Genomic DNA, 19962 nt, shown 5'->3' on the forward strand with positions numbered 1-19962 from the left:
CCGTCTCTACTAAAAATACACAAAATTAGCCGGGTGCGGTGGCGGGCGCCTGTAGTCCCAGCTACTTGGGAGGCTGAGGCAAAAGAATGGCGTGAACCCGGGAGGCAGAGCTTGCAGTGAGCCAAGATCATGCCACTGCACTCCAGCCTGGGGGACAGAGCGAGACTCCATCTCAAAAAAAAAAAAAGAAACTCCTTGAGTACAAAATGTCTACATTTTTCAACTGACATTCTTACACACCATGTCCTAATAATACAAACTTATAGAATTGATAAACTTCATATAAGTACTATACTTGTCTTTTTCAACAGTTCCTTGATAAACAGTAAATTGGTCCTGCATATAATCTTCATGTTTACGAAAAACATCACATGTTGGCTTCCAGCTATAGAAAAAAATATATTTGTAATTAGCAACTCAGAATGATAAACAAATTGATAGAGATAATAAAAAAAAGAACATAATTATTTAAAGAGAAACGAATCTTTCTCTTCCTGGAGAAAACAAGCTTACATCAAGAAAAGTATTTCCATCTCATATCACTCCCACTACCTCCATTCAAGGACTATTATGCTCGAATATCAATATTCATGAATTTTTATATTAAACTTGTTTTTGAACCATTACTAGGGAAGGAGCAAATGTGACATGGCTGGATTGTGTATTGCTATTGCATTTCTATTATACACTCTGTAACACTCCAATATCAGCCTTTCTTTCTCATTACATTTCTAAGATTTTGGTCAAAAAAATTCTTTTGGAGTAAGCATTCAAAGAACTAGAATAAGGGCTAAAGAGAGGTTTTTTTGCTCCTTTAACACTTAGAAAACAGGTGTCACATCATCCTGAATTACAAAAAAAAGAGAAACCAGAGCAAATGAATTACAAAATCAGACAATAGGAATATAACAAATATTCATCTTATACATTTTTTATTATGTAACTTGAAAGAATATTACCAATACAAAAAAATATAAAATTAATATATACCATGGCGGCTTCCAGTGTAAGTATTTTTCAAATATTGCCTTTTTTCTAACTTTTTTTTCAGATTCAAAAAGTATACATGCCCAATTTGGAAGCACAGAAAAGTATGTGTAAGAAAATAACTATTAATCATATTCTCAATATTGAATAATGACTATTATTGTTTTAATAAATTGTTTCCAGATGTTACTATAATTATACATTTTAACATCATTGAGAGCTTATCCTCCTTTATCACTTAGTAACAGAACTTGTACTTAAATATATCTGAATTTCTGATCATTTCCTTAGAAAATATTCTCCAAAATGAAATTAGAAGATCAAAAATTATACATACATATATTCTCAATATTTTTAAATGTCATAAATACTCATGGTCATAAAGATAGCAACAGTAGACACTGGAAACTAGTAGAGGGGGAAGAGGTGAAAAACTATTGAGTACTATGCTCTCGCTACCTGGGTGATGGGATCAGTTGTACCCCAAACCTCTGCATTACACAATATAACTATCTCATAAACTTGCACAAGTGCCCCTGAATCTAAAATAAAAATTGGAATTATTTTAAAATTCCATAAAACATACATGTTCATTGAGAAGGCATTCACTATAAGCCTTTTGATGTACATCCTTCTAGACTTTTTGTAATTATATATAAATATACAATTACTAAATTAGCTTAATATTATGAATATTGTTTTTTAATCTGCTTTGACCAATTTGTAACTTTAAAAAGCAAGTTGCAGACCTTGCTTTTTAAAAACCTTCCTTTACTGTTAACATCTTCCCATATCCATAAATATACACCTATATCACAATTTCACTGGCTGCCTAATGTTCATTCATATGGATATACCAAAACTCATTTAACCAGTTCCCTAATGCTGAACATTAGAGTTGCTCCCAATATTTCCTATCATTATAAAAAGGCTGAAATGGAACTCAACTTAATAGAAAAAATAAATAACCTGACATTTTCAATGGGCAAAGGATCTGAATAGACATTTCTCAAAGAAGAGATACAAATGGCCAACAGATATATGAAAAAATGCTCAATGCCTCTAATCATCAGGGGAATTCAAATTAAAACCAAAATAAGATATTACCTCACTCCTGTTAGAATGGCTGTTATCAAAAAGATGAATAAGGCTGGGTGCGGTGGCCCACACCTGTAATCCCATTACTTTGGAAGGGTAAGGCAGGCATATCACCTGAGGTCAGGAGTTCAAGACCAGCCTGGCCAATATGGTGAAACCCTGTCTCTATTAAAAATACAAAAATTAGCTGGGCATGGTGGTGCATGCCTGTAATCCCAGCTACTCGGAAGGCTGAGACAGGAGAATCACTTGAACCCAGGAGGTGGAGGGAGGAGGTCGCAGTGAGTGAGATCGCGCCATTGCACTCCAGCCTGGGTGACAAGAGTGAAACTCCATCTCAAAAAATAAAAAAGGTGAATAACAACAAGTGTTGGGGAGGATGTGGAGAAAAGGAAACTCTTGGACACTGTTGGTGGAAGTGTAAACTAGTACAGCTACTTCAGAAAATAGTATGGCAGGTCCTCAAAAAACTAAAAATAGAATTACCATATGATCCAGCCATCCCACTTTTGAGTATTCGTCCAAAGGAAACGAAATCAGTACATCGAAGAGATATCTGCCCTCCCATGTTCATTTTAGCATTATTCATAATATCAAGGTATGGAAGCAACCTAAGTGTTCCACAAGAGATGATGGATAATGAAAGTGTGGCATAGATACACTATGAAATACTATACAGCCTGAAAAAAAGTAGGAAATTCTGTCATTCAAGACAACATAAATGGAACTAAAGGATGTTATGCTAAGTGAAATAAGCCAGGCAGGTAATGGCAAATACTGTATGATCTCAGTTATATGTAGTATCTAAAAAAGTCAATCTCATATAAACAGAGAGTAGAAAGGTGGTTACCAGAGGTGGGGTTGAGGTAAAGAAAAAATGGGGAAAGGGAAGATGTTGATCAAAGAACACAAAGTTTAAGTTGGAGTGGAGGAAAAAAAATTAGTGATCTACTGCACCGTATAGTGACTACAGTTAAATAATATATATTTCGAATATGCTAGAAAAATGAGCTTTTTAATATTCTCATCACAAAAAAATAAGTTGGTAAGGTGATGAATATCTTAATTAGCTTCTTTCAACAATGTACACATAGATCAAAATATCACATTTTGATCTAAACATACATAATTATTTTTCAATTAAAAATAAATTGTAAAAATGTTCTGTGTATGGAAAAAAAAGACTGACATAAACATTTGGTTGTACATTACATCTTTGAGAGGATCTCTATTTCCTTATGAAAAATTCTCAGAAATGGAATCACTTAATCAAAATTTATGCTTGGGCCAGGCGCAGTGGCTCACATGTATAATCCCAGCACTTTGGGAGGCCGAAGTGGGAGGATCACTTGAGTCCAGGAGTTCGAGACCAGCCTGAGCAACATAGTGAGACTCCATCTCTATTTTTTTTTAAATCATGCTTATTTTTAAAGCTTTTAAAATATATACTGGCATGTCATCTAAAAGATTTATACTACTGTACACTCCTACAGTGTATGCGAGTTGATATTCTTATTTCTTGCCAGTGCTAGGTGTTATTTTTTTAAATCTCAGCAAAACTCAGAGGCAAAAATAATAGCATTTAATTATTGCTTTAATTTAGATATTTCTGACTATTAGCAAGATTGAGCATTTCTGCACATGTATTAGACTTGTGTATTTTTTTCATTTTGGTATTTACCCGTTTACCTTCTTTGCTCATTTTTCTAATAGGACTTTTGCTTTTTCTTATTAATTTCTACAAGTACTTTATGTTTTTAAACAATCCTTATTTGACACTTTTCCTAGCTTATCCTTTTGTCTTTTATATCATTATAGGGTATTTTTCTTTTTAATTTGTGTGCAGTCATATTTATCCATCATTTCCTATGTGGTTTCTGATTTTGGTGACATATTTAGAAAGACCTTCCTCTCTCAAAGATTATATAGCACTTACATTTTTCTAGTACTTTCATAGATTCTTATTTCACATTTAAATCTCATAACCAGTATGCTGAAACCATAAACTAGAGGTATTCATGAATTTAGACATATTAAAATCAACAGATCCTACTGACTCTCCTCAGACCTAGCAGAAATTAAGCTTTTACAAAGTACAGTGTATCTAGGACACGGTAGGTTCTACGGGGAAACTATTAGTACTTTTCCACAACCCAATGCAGCTAATTGAGGAAAACCACTGGTAAAATCTACTACAATAAAACCCAAGTCAAAATAAAAGAAAATGGTCAACAACATGTAAGTTTTGGCTGATCAGATTACCAAAATATTTAAACACTGACAATTCCAGTGTTGGCAAGAGTATGAGGAAATAGGAACTCTCCTACACTGTTTTTTAATAATTCATTTTCTATTTATAAAAGTAATAGTCTTTATAATAAGTCAATCAATGTGTTACTGCATAAAATTTTGTTCCCATACATTGTTGGTGGGAGCACAAATTGGTATAAACTTTTTGGAGAGCAGTTTGGTATTATCGACCCAATGTTTAAATGTGCATACTCTTTAGCAATTTCACTTCTAGGAGCCCATTCTATAGCAATAGATCTCTATATGTGGAAGTATATCTGTACATGACTGGAAATAACCTAAATTTCCATTAATAGGGGAATGGCTAAATAACAGGCTACATCAATACCAGAAATACCACGGAGCTGTTAAAAAGAATGAAATATATATAAAATTACATGCACAGTACCATTTACATTAGGTATTGTTAAATGTTAAAAAGCAAGTTGCAGAATGAAGTGAGTCCATTTTTGTAAAAAGGAAATACAGCTATATAGACAGGTGTGTGTGTGTGTGTGTGTGTGTGTGTGTGGTGTGCATAATAATGATGTTGACTCTTCAAGATCTAAAAGGATGTGAGTCATTACCTATGCAGAGGATGACAGGGTAGGGGACGGGAACTGCAAGCAGGGAAAAACTATTTGCACCATATATGTGTATATTGCTTGAACATTTGTATTTGGTATATGTTACTTTTATAATTTCTTAAAACCAGTGGGAAAAAACTAATGGGGGAAAAACAAAAAAGGCTTATTAAAATTTTGAATAACAAAATATTTCAAAACAAATATGATCCTAAAATACAGTACTTACTACAATGTCCATATAAAACTAAGTACAGAAAATTTATATTTGTAATAAGTCTTTGTTGTTTTTATGTATTTGTTTCAAAATGTCTAGAGTTAACTAGTAGAATCCAGAACCTGAAGCCATGTTGAAAGAATTCTTAACGTATTAAATATTTTTATTTTGAAAAACTTCAGGCCGTATTCCCTCACACAAAAATAAGATCTTGAAAATTCAAAAATGGAAATTGTTTCAAATATATTTAATAGGAATTTTATATACTGAGCTTATTCAAAAGTTTATAGTTAGATTAAGTGGATCTGAATTAGTGAGCTCTTATAGCTGTTTAGTTCTATTTCTCTTCTGATCCTCCTATAATCCCTTTACATAGTGGCATAACAAGGCACATTAAGACTTGATTCATTAGCTAATACAGAATACTACTTTGAAGGAAGTATCTTCAACTGTAAACTCAAAAACCCTAAATAAAAGAATGCAATGAAAATTGATTCTTTCAAATACTCACTTTCTACAGTTGTCTTTAATCTCCTCACTATGTTTACAGTAATGATCAATTTCCTCATCTGTTGCATTTATAGTTTCGTGTATCCTACAAATAGTTACTTTGTTTTCCTTAATATCTTCACAGCATTCTACAAAGAGAAAATGTTTATTTTCTTAATGTAGAAATAATAAGTTCAAAATAAACAAATAGAGAAAAAAAATGGGTATGGCAGCTTACCTAAAAGGAAGAGAGCCAGAGAATGGAGAGGAAACGAGGCTTGAGATGGGTGGGACCGTATACTAAAATGCAGAGAACCAGGGCCAGGCCTGATCCTAGAGCCAGAAGCTAAGAAGATTTTCAGTTTGGGAATGATGAAAAAATAAATGTCCCTTGTACCTCATCTTTAACATAAAAGGGCTAGATTCAGTGATATCTAAGGTCAATCGTATCTTAAGATGCTATGAATTCTTGCAAACATTTATTCGTTAATGACACTAATAGAAGCCTTCTGTTTTTGACAAATGTGAAATTTCTATTCATCAATTCTATGTCAATTATTAAACGCACTTTCAACTCACTTATTTCTGTTACTAGTGATTAAATAGAAGATAAAATGGACATAATTTCTTAAAAAGATTAAAATAAATTCTTAATATTCTGTATTCTTTTTTGATTGCAGAAAATATAACCAAACTCTACCTTTTCAGAACGATGAAGAAATTTAGAACTCTATTTTTTATAGTTGTTTTGTTGGATCTTAAAATACTATACAGTATTTGTGTGATTTGCCTTGCTATTTCTCTGATAACATTATTTTTCAGAATTATTATTCCTGAAAATGTGGCATCTATCGATTTTGATCCCTGATTTCTGGTGGTTTCTATAAAGATAAAAAAAATTTCACTCAACTATTTGAAATAACTTGTTATTAGAGAAAAATAACATCTTTTCCACTGCACCTAAGGGGTCATTTCTACTTAAGACAAAATTCTTCATAAAATAATTAAATGCTGAATATAGAAGTTTATTATCAAACAACTATAGTTAAGTCACATCTATTTCGTCTAGGGTAAATAGTTTATTTGTCGCTAGAGAGAACTGACACAAAAGTTATAACGCCAACAATAAGTTGCCCTAAACAGAGCAATTGTATGTTATATGCCATAAGGAATTAAAAGACTAAAATATCTTGATCATGCAAAGCTACTTACTATTAATTCTTTGAATCATCTCTTCTTTAGTACTTATGTCTTGCTCATACTGGAAGACTAAAATAAATAATTATCTTGTGACTTCAATTCATTGTTAAAATATCAAATGATCATACAAAAAGCTACCTATTTTTTCACTTTATACCTACCAAATTCTAGCAAAAGTCTGTCCAAACTGACAAACAGGCTGTCATTCATCTTGGATACTATGTTAAATGAAAAAAAAAATTATAAGATTTTCTGAAGTCGTATGCAAAACAGGATATATTTCGTAACGACCTTTTCAATATAGCATTCTTCACAGGAACATGTGGGCAGAGCCAGAACTGGAAGACGAGAGGCCCCCTTGAGCCCATGGCGACATTCCCAGCCCCTTCCCGGGCCAAGCCCAACGAGCGCTTCAGAAATCGTTGTTGAGTCGGGGCACGACTTGAAGTTTTGGGGATGGGGTGGGAAGCACCCGCATAACCGCTTATGCGTGGGATTGCAACAAGCATCCGGATCTTCCAGGGTTCACGGACACCCAGATTTCTCCACAGGATATGCCCTTTAAAGTAAACGCTCTGAATATGTCCCTTGGTGGCGTGTGTACAACCACGTGTAGCAAAATTCTAACGAAAGCCCTTCCCCAACACCCGGGTAAACCTAGAGAAACAGTGCGATTTCGCATTTACGAATTTACCACGAAGAATAAAAAAATTGGAGGTTTTCACAGAACAGCCAATTCGCATTACGGCATACGCCTGAGGCGGGGTTCCTGTCTACCGTGCCCCTCAGAGCCCAGGAACCACAGCCCGTGCGCCTCCCGCAGTGGGAGTTCGCCGGCCGACTCCCACCCTCACAGCCTCCTGTCCTGGCTTCCCCTCGCCCGAGGCTGCAACACCGCATCCCCCCCATCCCCCGCCGCGCCCTCAGCCTCGGGCCGCACCAACCCAGGGGATAAGGCGACTCCGGTCGCTCTGAGGGGCAGGGCCAGCCAGCCCCCTCCCACCCACGCACACGCTCCCCCTCAGAGCCGCCGGCCCAGAGAAAAACCGCCACATGCAGCTCCCTTCCACACGCACCTAAACAGCTCCTCTGGACCCGAACGCCCACACCCTCCCTCCCTGGGGTCCCAAACTCCACTCAGGACGCCACAGCGGATCCTAACTACAAACGGTCCCCGGAGCCCTGGGCTGGACTCGCTCAGCCCCGCCCCCACGCCCCTGGTACCAGCCCTGAGAGACCCCGCGGAGCACGCCGCGGGAGCCGCAGATCGCGCTGAAGAGCAGCGAGATCGCGCTCTGGACGAGACCTGCGCGGCTGCAACCGCTCCTTCTTCGCGGGTGGAAGCGCGGAATAAGCCCCGTAAAACCACAGAAGTGGGTGCTGGAGTTAGAGGACCCTCAAAGAAGTAGAGACCTGTCAGAGACTCTCCTGTTTTCTTGAAGACAAGTGTTTTTTAAAGCCTATTTATTCCTCTTGTAACAAGTTTTTAAAAATATTTTGGAGTACAACAATAAAATTGATATTAACTTTTAACAAGAGTAAAAAATACTCAATTCAATAATCAAAATTCAATTCTGAATTCAGCATTTTTCAAAACATCTTAAAAAGCAAGCACAACTCAAATACATATTAGTTGAATGGACATTTTGAGACTGACTCATTTGCTCAGTTTCAAATAAAGTACATTTTCTGCCCAAAATGCTGTCTTTAGGTAATTTATGCTCTTAGGCTTTGTCTGCCTATCCAAAGTGAAATAAAGAGTGTAAACAAAATCATTAAGCAGTTCAGTCCTCCAAAGTGCCTCAATCCTTTGTATATTTCTCGTAGAAATGTTTTTAACCGTAAATGATCACAATAATTGTCTCAAGTCACCAAAACCTAAGCTGTTTCACGGAATATTTAAGTGAAAAAGAAGGTTTCAGAAGTTTTTCTTCCTTAAGTGCCTCAGATCAGATATGCATAACCAATTTTATTATAGTGTGCTGTCATATTGCTCACTAGTTGGTATTAATATTCAACAAAACTAACATGTTTTGATAATGTAACAATTTAGCAGATTTATTCTTTTGTGTGTGTGTGAAAAATCTTTTACTTAGTTTTTCCAGCTTTATTGAGGCATAATTGACAAATAAAAATTGTATTTACCACGTACATGATATTTGGACGTATACATACATTGTGAAATGATCACCACGATCAAGTTAATTTGTATAACACATCCATCACCTCATATAATCATTTTTGGGTGTGTGTGGTGAGAACCTTTAAGATCTACTCTCTTAGCAAGTTTCAAGGACACAATACAGTATTATTAACTATAGTCACCATGCTGTACATTAGATCTCCAGAACTTATTCAATCTGCCTAACTGAAACTTCGTACCCTTTGACCAACATATTTCCTCATTCCCACCTCCTCCCTCCCCCAGCCACTGGCAACCACCATTCTACTCTCTGCTTCTATGGGCTCAGCTTTTTCAGATTCCACCTACAAGTGAAGTCATATAGTATTTGTCTTTCTGTGCCTGACTTACTTCAATTAGCATAATGTCCCACAGGCTCATCCATCATCCATGTGGTCACAAATGACAAGATTCCTTCTCTGTTAAAGCTGAATAAAAGTCCGTGTGTGTGTGTGTGTGTGTGTTTATCCATTCATTGACAAATGAATGGATAGGTTGAGTATATATCTTGGCTATTGTGAATAATGTTGCAGTGAACATGAGAGCACAGACATCTGTTCCACAAAGTGATTTTATATTCTTTGGATATGTATTCAAAAGTGGGATTGCTGGGTCTTATGATAGTTCTATTTTTAAATTTTGAGAAGTCTCTTCACTGTTTCCCTAATGGCGGTACCCATTTGCATTCCCGCAAAGAGTGTACAACTTTTCCTTTTTTCCATATCCTTGTCAACACTTGTTGCCTTTTTTATCATAGTCATTCTAACAGGTGTGACGTATCCTATTGTGGTTTTGATTTGCATTTCGCTATGATTATTGACGTTCAGCATTTCTTTATATATCTGTTGGCGATTTGCACATCTTCTTTTGAGCAATGTCTATTCAGGTCCTTTGCCCATTTTTAATCAGATTGTTTGTTTTCTTGCTTAGTTGAGTTCCTTATTTAGATATTAACCCAAATTTACTCTTATTACATTTGTTTATATTTATTAACTACTTCTTTTTAGGAAAACATAGGAAAGCAAATATAAAGTGTAAATCTATTTTGTCTTACTGGCACTACATTGCTATGACTGTCAAGAAAATTTAGTAGGTAAAAAGTTAGTCTACTTCAATTTAACACTAGATTTTCTTATGAAAATTTGTAGAAATCTAGAAACACCACCTTACTGAGATCTGAAAATCAATTTATTTGCATTTAAATTCACATCTATACATATCCTAATTACCCTCATAAAAATATACCTAAGTTCTACCAACACCACTACCATCTATCTTATTCCATTCCAAAATTTTCTTCTGGAAAAGCAATGAAGATGCTCCATCTACTGGAGAGTTTTAAATAAATTTTATTTCCCTCTCTCCCTATTCCCTCTCACTCCAGTGAATTACAGTGCTCCATTTGAAAAATTATAGAACTTTGACTCAGATAAACATTTATCTTAACAAATCATTTTCTGGGAAAGTACTCCCACAAGATAAAATTTTCCTTATCTATTATTGACACCTTTGCCTCTTGATCCATAATCAACAATCTGAAGAAATCCATTACTTAAACCTGCTGCTCATTCTAATTGCACGGTATTCCTTTTCTTCCTTTTATTGCTTAATTTATCTAATAGGAAGCTTGTGTTTCCTACCTACAATTCCTCTCCACTCATTTCCTAATTGACCTTTTCAATTTAACTACTATCTCCATCACATTTAACTACTTTCTCAGGTAATCAAGACAACATTTTAATTCCAAATCTTATGGTCTTTTCTCAGTCTTATCCTCCTCCCTTCCTTTTTTTCTTACTCTCTTCCATACTTGGTTCCATTTAAACTCTCTGCAATCCTGACTTCCAAGACACTACTCTCTTCTGGTTCTCCCACCTCTCCTATCTGCCCCTCAGATTTCATCTTCTATTTCTTTCCCCCTCACCATCACCATGGACTCTAACCAAGATTTTTTTCCTTAACTCTACCCTTTTCTTTTTTGGGGGTCATGCATCCATAGTAACTTCAATTATCACACCTGTGCTTATGAGTCCCAAATCTTTACTTCCAGTCCTATCCTATTATCAGGGAGTTATCCAAATATTTATCTTTATATGCTTTCCATCAATCTTGATTTAACCTGATCTAAATCCAAAGTCATCTCCCATAAATAATTATTCACAAAGTCTTGCTGATTTTTTCTTTGATATTTTCTTTGTATGCATCCAGTCAACTCTATAAACAATCTTTGCAGTCAGGCAGATATGGATTTAACTTCTGGATCTGTCATTTGTTAAGTCAAAACTTTGGGCAAGTTTCTAATCCAAGCTTTCGTTTCCTCACATATAAAGTGGAAATTGTAATAACTCCAACATCATGGAATAGTTATGAAGATTAAATAAAATAATTTCTATAAAGCCCCTAATATAATGCCCAGCACATAGTATATAGAAAATATAGAAGACATTGGAATGAAACTTCTTCAAATTCCAGCTATCAAACATATGATCCTACTTAAATCTTCATTAATCTATCCTCCTTCTGTTCTGTTACAATAGTGGAACTCTCTCTCCTCTTACCTAAAGCCAATTCCTCCACCTGTATTTGAGTACCATCTCCTCTTACCTCCTCAGAAGCGTTAAAATATCAAATATGCCTTTTCTCTTATGTGTATTCAATCTCTTCCATTTAATTGGATCCCTCTCATCAGCTTTAAACATGGTCAAGTCTATACCAGAAAATGAAAGAGAGAGAATCTTCCCTAGACATTAAAGGTTTTATGAGTCAACATCATATTTCTCTCACAGCCAACCTGATTTCTAAACAGTTGTCTAAACTCACAGTCTCCCTCCTCTTTTCTTACTCCAATCTGCCTTCCAATGCCATTATGCCATAAAATTTGTTCTAAGATGACAATGACCTCATGACACTGAATCCAATGAACATGTTTCAGTCATTAACTGACCTGACCTCTGCATTATCACTTTTCCTTCTTAAAACACCGCAGTAGCTGCATGATTTTTCTCCCATCTCTCATAATTTTCTCTATCTTCTCTTTCAGCCTCCTCTCCTTCCACTCAGCCATTAAATGTTGTAAATCTCAGATTCAGTCCTAGGCCTTTTTTCATCTGTACTCCATGTGCATGGTTTCTAATGCAACCACTATACAGGTGACTCACAATGTGTATCTCTAGCCTAGACCTCTAGTATCAATCCAAGTCAGTAATTGCAAACAACAGAAATTAATTCTGGCTGATTTAAGCAAAGGTGAAATTTGTTTGAAGAATACTGGGACCAGGCATGGTGGCTCACACCTGTAATCCCAGGACTTTGGGAGGTCAGGGCACAAGGATTGCTTGAGCCCAGGAGTTCAAGACCAGCCTGGGAAACACAGAGAAAACCCATCTCTATAAATAAATAAATGAATAAATAAATAAATAAATAAATAAATAAATAAATAGGTGCACACCTGTAGTCCTAACTACTTGGGAGGCTGGGGCGGGAAGATCACTTGAGCCCAGGAATTCAAGGCTGTGGCGAGCTATGATCGCACCACTGCACTCCAGCTTAGGCAACAGAATAAGATCCTGCCTCTAAAAAATAATAATAAAGTAAAAAATTTTAAAAATGTTACTGTGTAACACAAAACTCCCCAGAATAGCTAGAGAACCAGACTCATGTGCTATACAGCAAGAAGCAAAAACCAAACTCATACCACAGATTTGGTAGTCGAGACACCATCACTACAACCAAGCACTGAGGACTGCAGCTCACATCACTATCATGAGCACTACCACAACTGCCCTACAAACTCTATCTTACTTTAACTGTCACCTATTAACAGATAGGATTCTTTCTAGGGCACACTTGCTGGTGTCACTCATTCCAATTCAAAATCTTGGGTAGATATATTTCATTAAAGAAGCCTATGACACATAAATCTCTTCTTCCTCCCAGACTGTTAGGGTAAAATACTTTCCAAACATAAGAATTGGATTTAAATGCTGGGCAGTCAAAAGGAAAAGCAACTGTTCATGACACCTATCCTGAGTTCCAGACCCACGTATCTAATTGCTGACGTGATAAGCTATCTTAGTCCATCCTGCACTATAACAAAACACCACTACCTAGATAATTCATAAATAATAGAAATTTATTTCTCACAGTTTTTGAGGTCAGTAAGTCCAACACTGAGGCACTGGCAGATTCAGTGTCTGGTAAGGGCACACTCTTTGCTTCCAAAATGGTGTCTTGTTGCTGTCCTCCGGAGAGGACAAATGCTATGTCCCAACATGGTGAAGAGGACAAAGTCTTTCCCTCAAGCCCTTTTATAGGCACTAATACTAAGCCCTCATCACGCCTCTTAATACTATTACATTAGGGATTAAGTTTCAACATGAATTGTGGAGGGACACAAACATTCAAACCACAGCACAAGCTCAAACACAGCTCATGTATTTCCCCCACTAATGCTGACCTCCTTCATCCTTTTCATTAATGAGACCAGAATCTATTTGTGCATACCAGAAACCTAGACCGTGACAACCTTCCTCTCCTATCATCCCCCACATCAAATCCATCATAAATCCTACCAATTTTTCCTCTTAAATATCTTCCATCCATTTTTCTCTATTTCAGCTGCCGCCATCTAAATTCATTCTCTCACCTGGATTATTGTACTAACTTCCAAACTGGTTTTGCCACATATCTACTCTAGCCCTCTTGCCCATTCTCTCTCCATCCTGTGACAGAGCAATTCTTAAATGTAAATATTCTCTCTCTCTTTTTCTCTCTCTCTCTCTCTCTCACACACACACACATCCCTATGTTAAAGCATGTTAATGACTTCCTATCATTCTAAGAATAAGGACAAAATACATTTTATTGGAAAAAATTCAAAATTTATTTTTCAACAGACAGCATCACCAGGTACAACTACAGGTGCTTCCCTATTGATCATGTATTTACAAGCCATTACTAGCTCAACAGTGAGAAAGCCACTTGGGTGTTTTCTGCAACAATACCCACTTCACAGTGTGAACGGGTACTATTATTGTGTTCTCTTAAAATTTCAGAAGGAAAGGCACAACTTGGCAAAACTTTAAAAAAAATTTTTTTATCCTAAAGTCAGGCGCAATAACTAAGAGACAAAACTTGGAGTAACATTCTGGCCTTCAGTAAAGACCTTCCACAGGAAGAGAAAAGACTTCTCCACCCTAAAGTTATGGCCTTTTTCTCTCCTTCCTTGTTAAACCATTAGAGCATTGTTTCATCATTTGCTCAATATTAACACATGTACAAAAGTGAATTTTTTAAAAAGAAATAAAAATATCTTGAATGTCCAGCTGTTCCCACCAATATATCAATCCTTAAGTTTAAGACAGGGCCTGGGAATCCTTCAGTAGTTATAAAGTAAGAAAATAGAGACTATGGCTACAAAAATAAAAAATAAATGAAGTACGGGCCCGGCGCAATGGCTCATTCCTGTAATCCCCACACTTTGGGAGGCCAACACAAGTGGATTGCTTGAGTTCGAGACCAGCCTGGGCAACATGGCGAAACCTTATCTCTACCAAAAAAAAAAAATAATAATAAAATAAAAAATTAGCTGTGTGTGCTGGTATGTGCCTGTAGTCCCAGCTACTCAAGAGGCTGACGCAGGAGGATGGCTTGAACCTGGGAGGCGGAAGTTGCAGTAAACCAAGATTGTGCCACTGCACTCCAGCCTGGGTGACAGAGCAAGACCCTGTCTCAAAAATAAAAATAAAAAATAAATGAAGTAGATAAATTAAAGCTTTCACAGCCAGGACTTGCCTGTTCTAACTTTGCAGCCTCCAAGAAATACTTAGGAAAAAAATCTTCATAATTACATGGCATCAGTCTCACTAACGAAATTTTTTTTAAATTAGTACGTGAACCTGTGATAGAAAACATGCCTTTCCATGAGTTTTATCTCTAGAAAAAAAACTCAGATTTTCAATAGAGTAGGCACTGGCAAACTGAATTATGTCACCTAATATTCCCCACTCAGGTGCCCACTTCTTCTAGCATTCAGGAAGATGAAGGCAACTGGGAAGTGTGGGAAAGGCATTGGCATACTTGGGGCTTCGAATGAACTGTACTTAAATAAGCAGCAACACACACATTGACTCCCTAAGGACTAAAATAAGCCCATATGAGGGTATTCTACTTAAGTTTCTAGGGTTGAAGAAACTTTGTAATTCTACAACCTTAGTATTTTGGAGTTTTTTTTAAGGTACACTCAAAACAAAACAAAATGAAAGATAGGTACATGGTTAGCTGGCATATAAAACAGGTCCCTAAATATATGACAGATCTTGTCCGTTTACCCAAATATAGTTACCTTTTAAGTATACAGTACCCTTTCCCCCAGTTAGGCTAAGCAGTTATGTTTTCCACTTGGTTCAATAAGCTCCAACTGTTCTACCTTGAAATAGGTGACAGACTTTGGAAACAGTCACTCTAGGGGTACAAAGTTTCTATGTGTACTTTGTCAAAAGAGGCAAAGCTACTTTCAAGGCCCACTTCTTCCAAAATTTAAAAAAAAAATCTAGTCTGTATTTGTGTTGGTATAAATTTTTATTTCATGTTTTGTTTTTATTTTTTGCAAAGCAGCATAGCAACAATGGTGATTGTAGGACTGCCTGAGGTTTCAGACACAACTGTAAACATCATTTACATATCAGTAAGAAAAAGGAAAACAGGAAAAGGAGACGAGTTTCTTAAGAAAATGAAAAAAAAGAAAGAAAGCACAGATTCTAGAGATTTCACTGGCTGCATTCGTCCCTCTACACAGGTTCCCATTTGGCTTAGTTGACCACAGTCTTGTTTTCTTCCAAGAAGTGAGGGAAACTGGTGTTTAGGAACACTGTTAGTAGCTCCTGGTTTTTCCAGATTAGCACTGATACCTGATTGGGAGCTATCCATCTTGGAGACAGTACATCATTCACAATGAAAAGAGGGACACTGGAAGGGTGTCAACACTGGCGCTCTAGACCACGGAGATTTCATTGTTCTTCATGGCAAGGCCACCATTGAGCATGCTGATGTACTGGTTCCACACGACAGGGTCCACATTCATCAAAGGGGCCAGAATTTCCTTGGGAAACATTTCTGAGACTCTTTCCATTCATATCTAACATCCATGGTGAACAAAAACAAGAACATCCATGGTGTTCTTGATAGGCAGCTTCTTTCCATGGCATGTCTAGTTATTGTTTACCTTGCGCATCATATAGTGGACCTTCAAGTTGCATTTGGTGGCAAAAGCTTGCCCATATATGTTGCACACAAAAGGTTTCTCTCCAGTGTGAGCTCATTAATTAATCTGAAGGCACTAGCAGACAAGAAATTCTTCCCACATCATGTGCAGCTGTGTTGCCTGGCCTGTCTGCATGATTGGGCTGCTAAAAAGGTGTCAGCCCAAGAACATGGCCAAGGGTCTGATAAATATGTTAGAAACTTCAACTCTGACATAGGTTGGCTGTGCTTGTATAAATATTAACGGGAGACTGCTCCGACCTTCCATCTTGGTGCAGCTATTGTCAGAGCTCTCAGCTTTGCCCTAGCATTGGGAGACTCTGATGTGATAGCTTCTGCTTGGTTATTGGCTGGGTAGAGTGCCTGGAAGGCCATGGTTTCCACGGCATCTGGACTTTGGCTCTCCACTGGACCATTTTTTCAGTTGCTCTACCACTGCAGGCTAAAATGGGCAGAACCCACATCTAGGGAAGCCATCATGTAGTTAGAGTAAGTCATGCCAAGTGGATTCTAGGGGGAGGTGCAAGGACCTTCAAGGAGCTACTGGGAGCATCTTGGCAGCTGACCTTGTCTACATCAGTGCTTTCTACAACATCATCATGACAGATGGCACTTACATTGCCATTCTCACTGGCCATCATTGGCTCAAGACCAGTAAAATCACCAAGATTCTCCAGCATGTTAATATGTTGGTACAACATGGCCACACTGGTAAATTTCTTTTGACTGATGAGACACAACTTTATTGATGTGTTGGACTGGTGAACCCCAAGGTGTGTCTTCAAGTTGCCTTTGGTAGAAAAAGCTTGGCCATAGATCTTACATTGGAACAGTCTCTCCCGAGTGTGGGCACGGTAATGCATTTTGAGGGATTTATAGCAGCTCAAGATTCAGTGGCAAATGCGACATTCATTGGGGTTGGTGGTGGACTTGTCAATGTTCTCCACCAGTTGCTGCAATTTCTGGGTCTCTGACCCTGGCTCATGGATTCCACTCCGTTGGAGGCCACCAATCCTTGGGGAATTATAGTTTGGTCCCACCCCAGGTTGTGTGAGTCTACCCTTACATTCTGAAGAAGATCTGAGCGGCAGGTCATCAAGCAACAGGTCACTGATGAGGTCCTTGAGCTCAGTACCCGAAGGGAGATTTTGAGGTACACCTATGGAGAGCATCCCTGTTACAAAGACAAGTTGGCTGCCTAAAGAGAGACTCAATTCATCTATGGGGACAGGTACAGAGAGTACATGGGAATGCCATTGCCTGCTCCCATTTTGTCCTGGAACTTGGCAAACAGCTGAAGGTTTGCCTTTACCTGAAAATATCTATGAAAGCACACCTTGGATTACCCTTGGTGGTGAAGCCATGACCACAGACAGAAAACATGAAGGGTTTCTCTCCAAAGTGGGAGCGGAGTTGTATCTACAAGGAGCTATCAGTCCCCAAAAGCTTGCTACGATACTTAAATTTGTGCTTGTAGACGATGGTTTTGTCTTTGGCTTTGACATCCACCTTGAGGTGTTCCATGGCTTCCTTTTCCCTTTCTTGGAAAGGTCTAGCACTACAGTATAGAATATAGAAAGAACTCTGGAAGAGCACAGAGTCCAGGGTGTGAGGTAGCAAAGTACTCAGGGGGCAAGACATGACATTTGGGAGCACATATGTCCCACTTTAGGACGAAGGGTATCAGTCCCAGGGACAAAGAGCTAGTTGTGAAAGGGATTTTGGCATGAGGTAGCTTGGCTTGTTTCAAGGCATCCAGAGACAGACCTTGGCTTCCAGTGTTCTGACTGAGCAAAGCCACAGCTGCAGAAACCTGCTGGAACATGTGGCTGTCCAAGTTCTATAGAGTATCACACTCCTCCCCTGATGTGAGTACAGGAGATTCACATGTTCATCTGAATTCAGATCTGCTGGGTGAGCTGGATCTGCTGTAGCTGCTGCAGAAACAGGATCTGCTCAAGGACCCACTGGATACTGTTGGTGCCAGCCACAGAAGCTGATTCATCATACCTTGTTGCCCCATAGTGCCTGAAGAGTCACATTTGTGTTGGCCACTTTCCCTTTGGGTAAATAGCTTATGTTCTGGGGTGTGGGTGGCAGGGCAGTGTCTGTCTCTAAGTACATGACAGACTCTGCATCCAGCTTCTCCTTTATGTCCCCTTAGCTGCCACCATTCTCCATGTGACCATTCTTACTGCTTGGACTGGGTGGCTGGTGGCTCAGTACAGCTCCAAAGAAGTCTTCTCAAGGCACTGGCCTCTTGCTGTCATACATGATGAAGATAGGTGGATTTTTTGTACAATTTTTCTTATGTTTCAAGAACTGAGAGAGGCTAAAGAACTTTGCACAGCATCTCTCAGTTGTTAGCCTCTTCCCAGTGAAGCTGCTTTACCGTTGCTTCATTCTCATTCAATTTATCACCATTTCCTAGGTGGGTCATTGGAGAACCTGGCTCCCCTGCCACTGGTGCCACTAGGTTGCATCTGCAAACTCCGAGTCAGCTCTGCAACTACTGCTCACCCTGGCCCTTCTCCAAGGTGATGTGCTGTGGTTTCACCTGCTTGTTCAACAACATGGTGCAAGCACTGGGTGCTGGGGGGAGCTGCAGTTATTTGGCCTCCAGCACAAGTTATTGGAGCTGGGAAAGTTAGCTTCCTTCAGCTGGAAAGCACATGTCCAAGTCAAGGACAAAATTCTTATCATGGCCTACAGGGACCTTTACGGTCCTGTCCCTACCTATCTCTCCATCTTCATATTATACTAACTCTACCTTCCTCTGCAATCCATCTTTATGAACTTCTGTCAGTTCTTAACATGCTCTTTCCATCAGGGGGATATTGTACTTGCTGGCTCCTCTGCCTGGAATGCTCTATCCTTCTTTATTTAATAACCTCCTTCTCATTCTTCAACTTTAAACTCAAGTATCACAGACTCAGCAATGTCTGTTATAAACTCTCATAGTTCATGCACTTATCCTTCATAGCAATTAACACAGTTTTAATTCTCTATTATTTGTGTAATTATCGTATAAATATCTATCTCATCCACTATACTGTAGTCTCCATGAGTACAGGCCCAATGCACACACACACACACTCCTTGGCATTCGAAACAAATAGGTTACAGCAACAGTTTGTCATAATGACTATAATCCCAATTCAATTCATAAGCACTTCTGACAGAATAAAGTCTAAGAAGTGTCCTTATAAGGAAAACAGTCACAGATGAGGAAGAATCTGCTACCTCTAGACTTTCAGTTCTGCAAGTCAAAAAATTCTCTTTGAGTGGGACACAGTGGCTCACACCTGTAATCCTAGTACTTTGGGAGGCCGAGGTGGGCCAATCACTGGAGGTCAGGAGTTCGAAACTAGCCTAGCCCACATGGTGAAACCCCATCTCTACTAAAACTATTTTTTTAAAAATTAGTTGGGCATGGTGGCGGGCGACTGTAATCCCAGCTACTTGGGAGGCTGAGGCAGGAGAATCGATTGAACCTAAGAGGCAGAGGATGCAGTGAGGCAAGTTCGCACCACTGCACTCCAGCCTGGGCAACAAAAGTGAAACTCCATCTCAAAAAAAAGAAAAAAGAAAAAAAGAGAAAGAAAGAAAGAAAAAAGAAAAAAATTCCCTTTGTACTTATGGTAGTCTAAGTTGGG

The 19962-nt window shown here is 38.2% G+C and overlaps 1 protein-coding gene and 1 pseudogene across 15 annotated transcripts in view; both read right to left on the reverse strand.

Annotated features, from left to right (window-relative positions):
• C14orf39 (chromosome 14 open reading frame 39) overlaps positions 1-19962 on the reverse strand; it is a 79589-nt gene that overhangs the window by 42049 nt on the left and 17578 nt on the right. For 4 of the 15 annotated variants that reach the window (XR_007064008.1, XM_017021247.2, XM_011536690.4 and 1 more), the window contains exons 1-6: positions 7941-8059; positions 7026-7082; positions 6877-6933; positions 5903-6010; positions 5687-5813; positions 296-385 (exon numbers count right to left, since the gene is read on the reverse strand). The exons of 1 other annotated variant lie outside the window; for it this stretch is intronic. Coding sequence is in view for 12 of the 14 variants with exons in the window: in XM_017021247.2 (XP_016876736.1) it covers positions 296-385; positions 5687-5813; positions 5903-6010; positions 6877-6933; positions 7026-7074 (431 nt within the window). In the remaining 2 variants the exon portion in view is untranslated. Of the gene's footprint in view, positions 1-290; positions 386-5686; positions 5814-5902; positions 6011-6876; positions 6934-7025; positions 8060-19962 lie in introns of those variants that run through there. 10 more of the 15 variants (XM_024449555.2, NM_174978.3, XM_047431327.1 and 7 more) reach the window with 8 other exon arrangements.
• Positions 16990-18988, reverse strand: SALL4P7 (spalt like transcription factor 4 pseudogene 7; annotated as a pseudogene).

The sequence above is a fragment of the Homo sapiens genome, chromosome 14 (genome assembly GCF_000001405.40).
Source record: "Homo sapiens chromosome 14, GRCh38.p14 Primary Assembly".
Taxonomy (NCBI): Eukaryota; Metazoa; Chordata; class Mammalia; order Primates; family Hominidae; genus Homo; species Homo sapiens.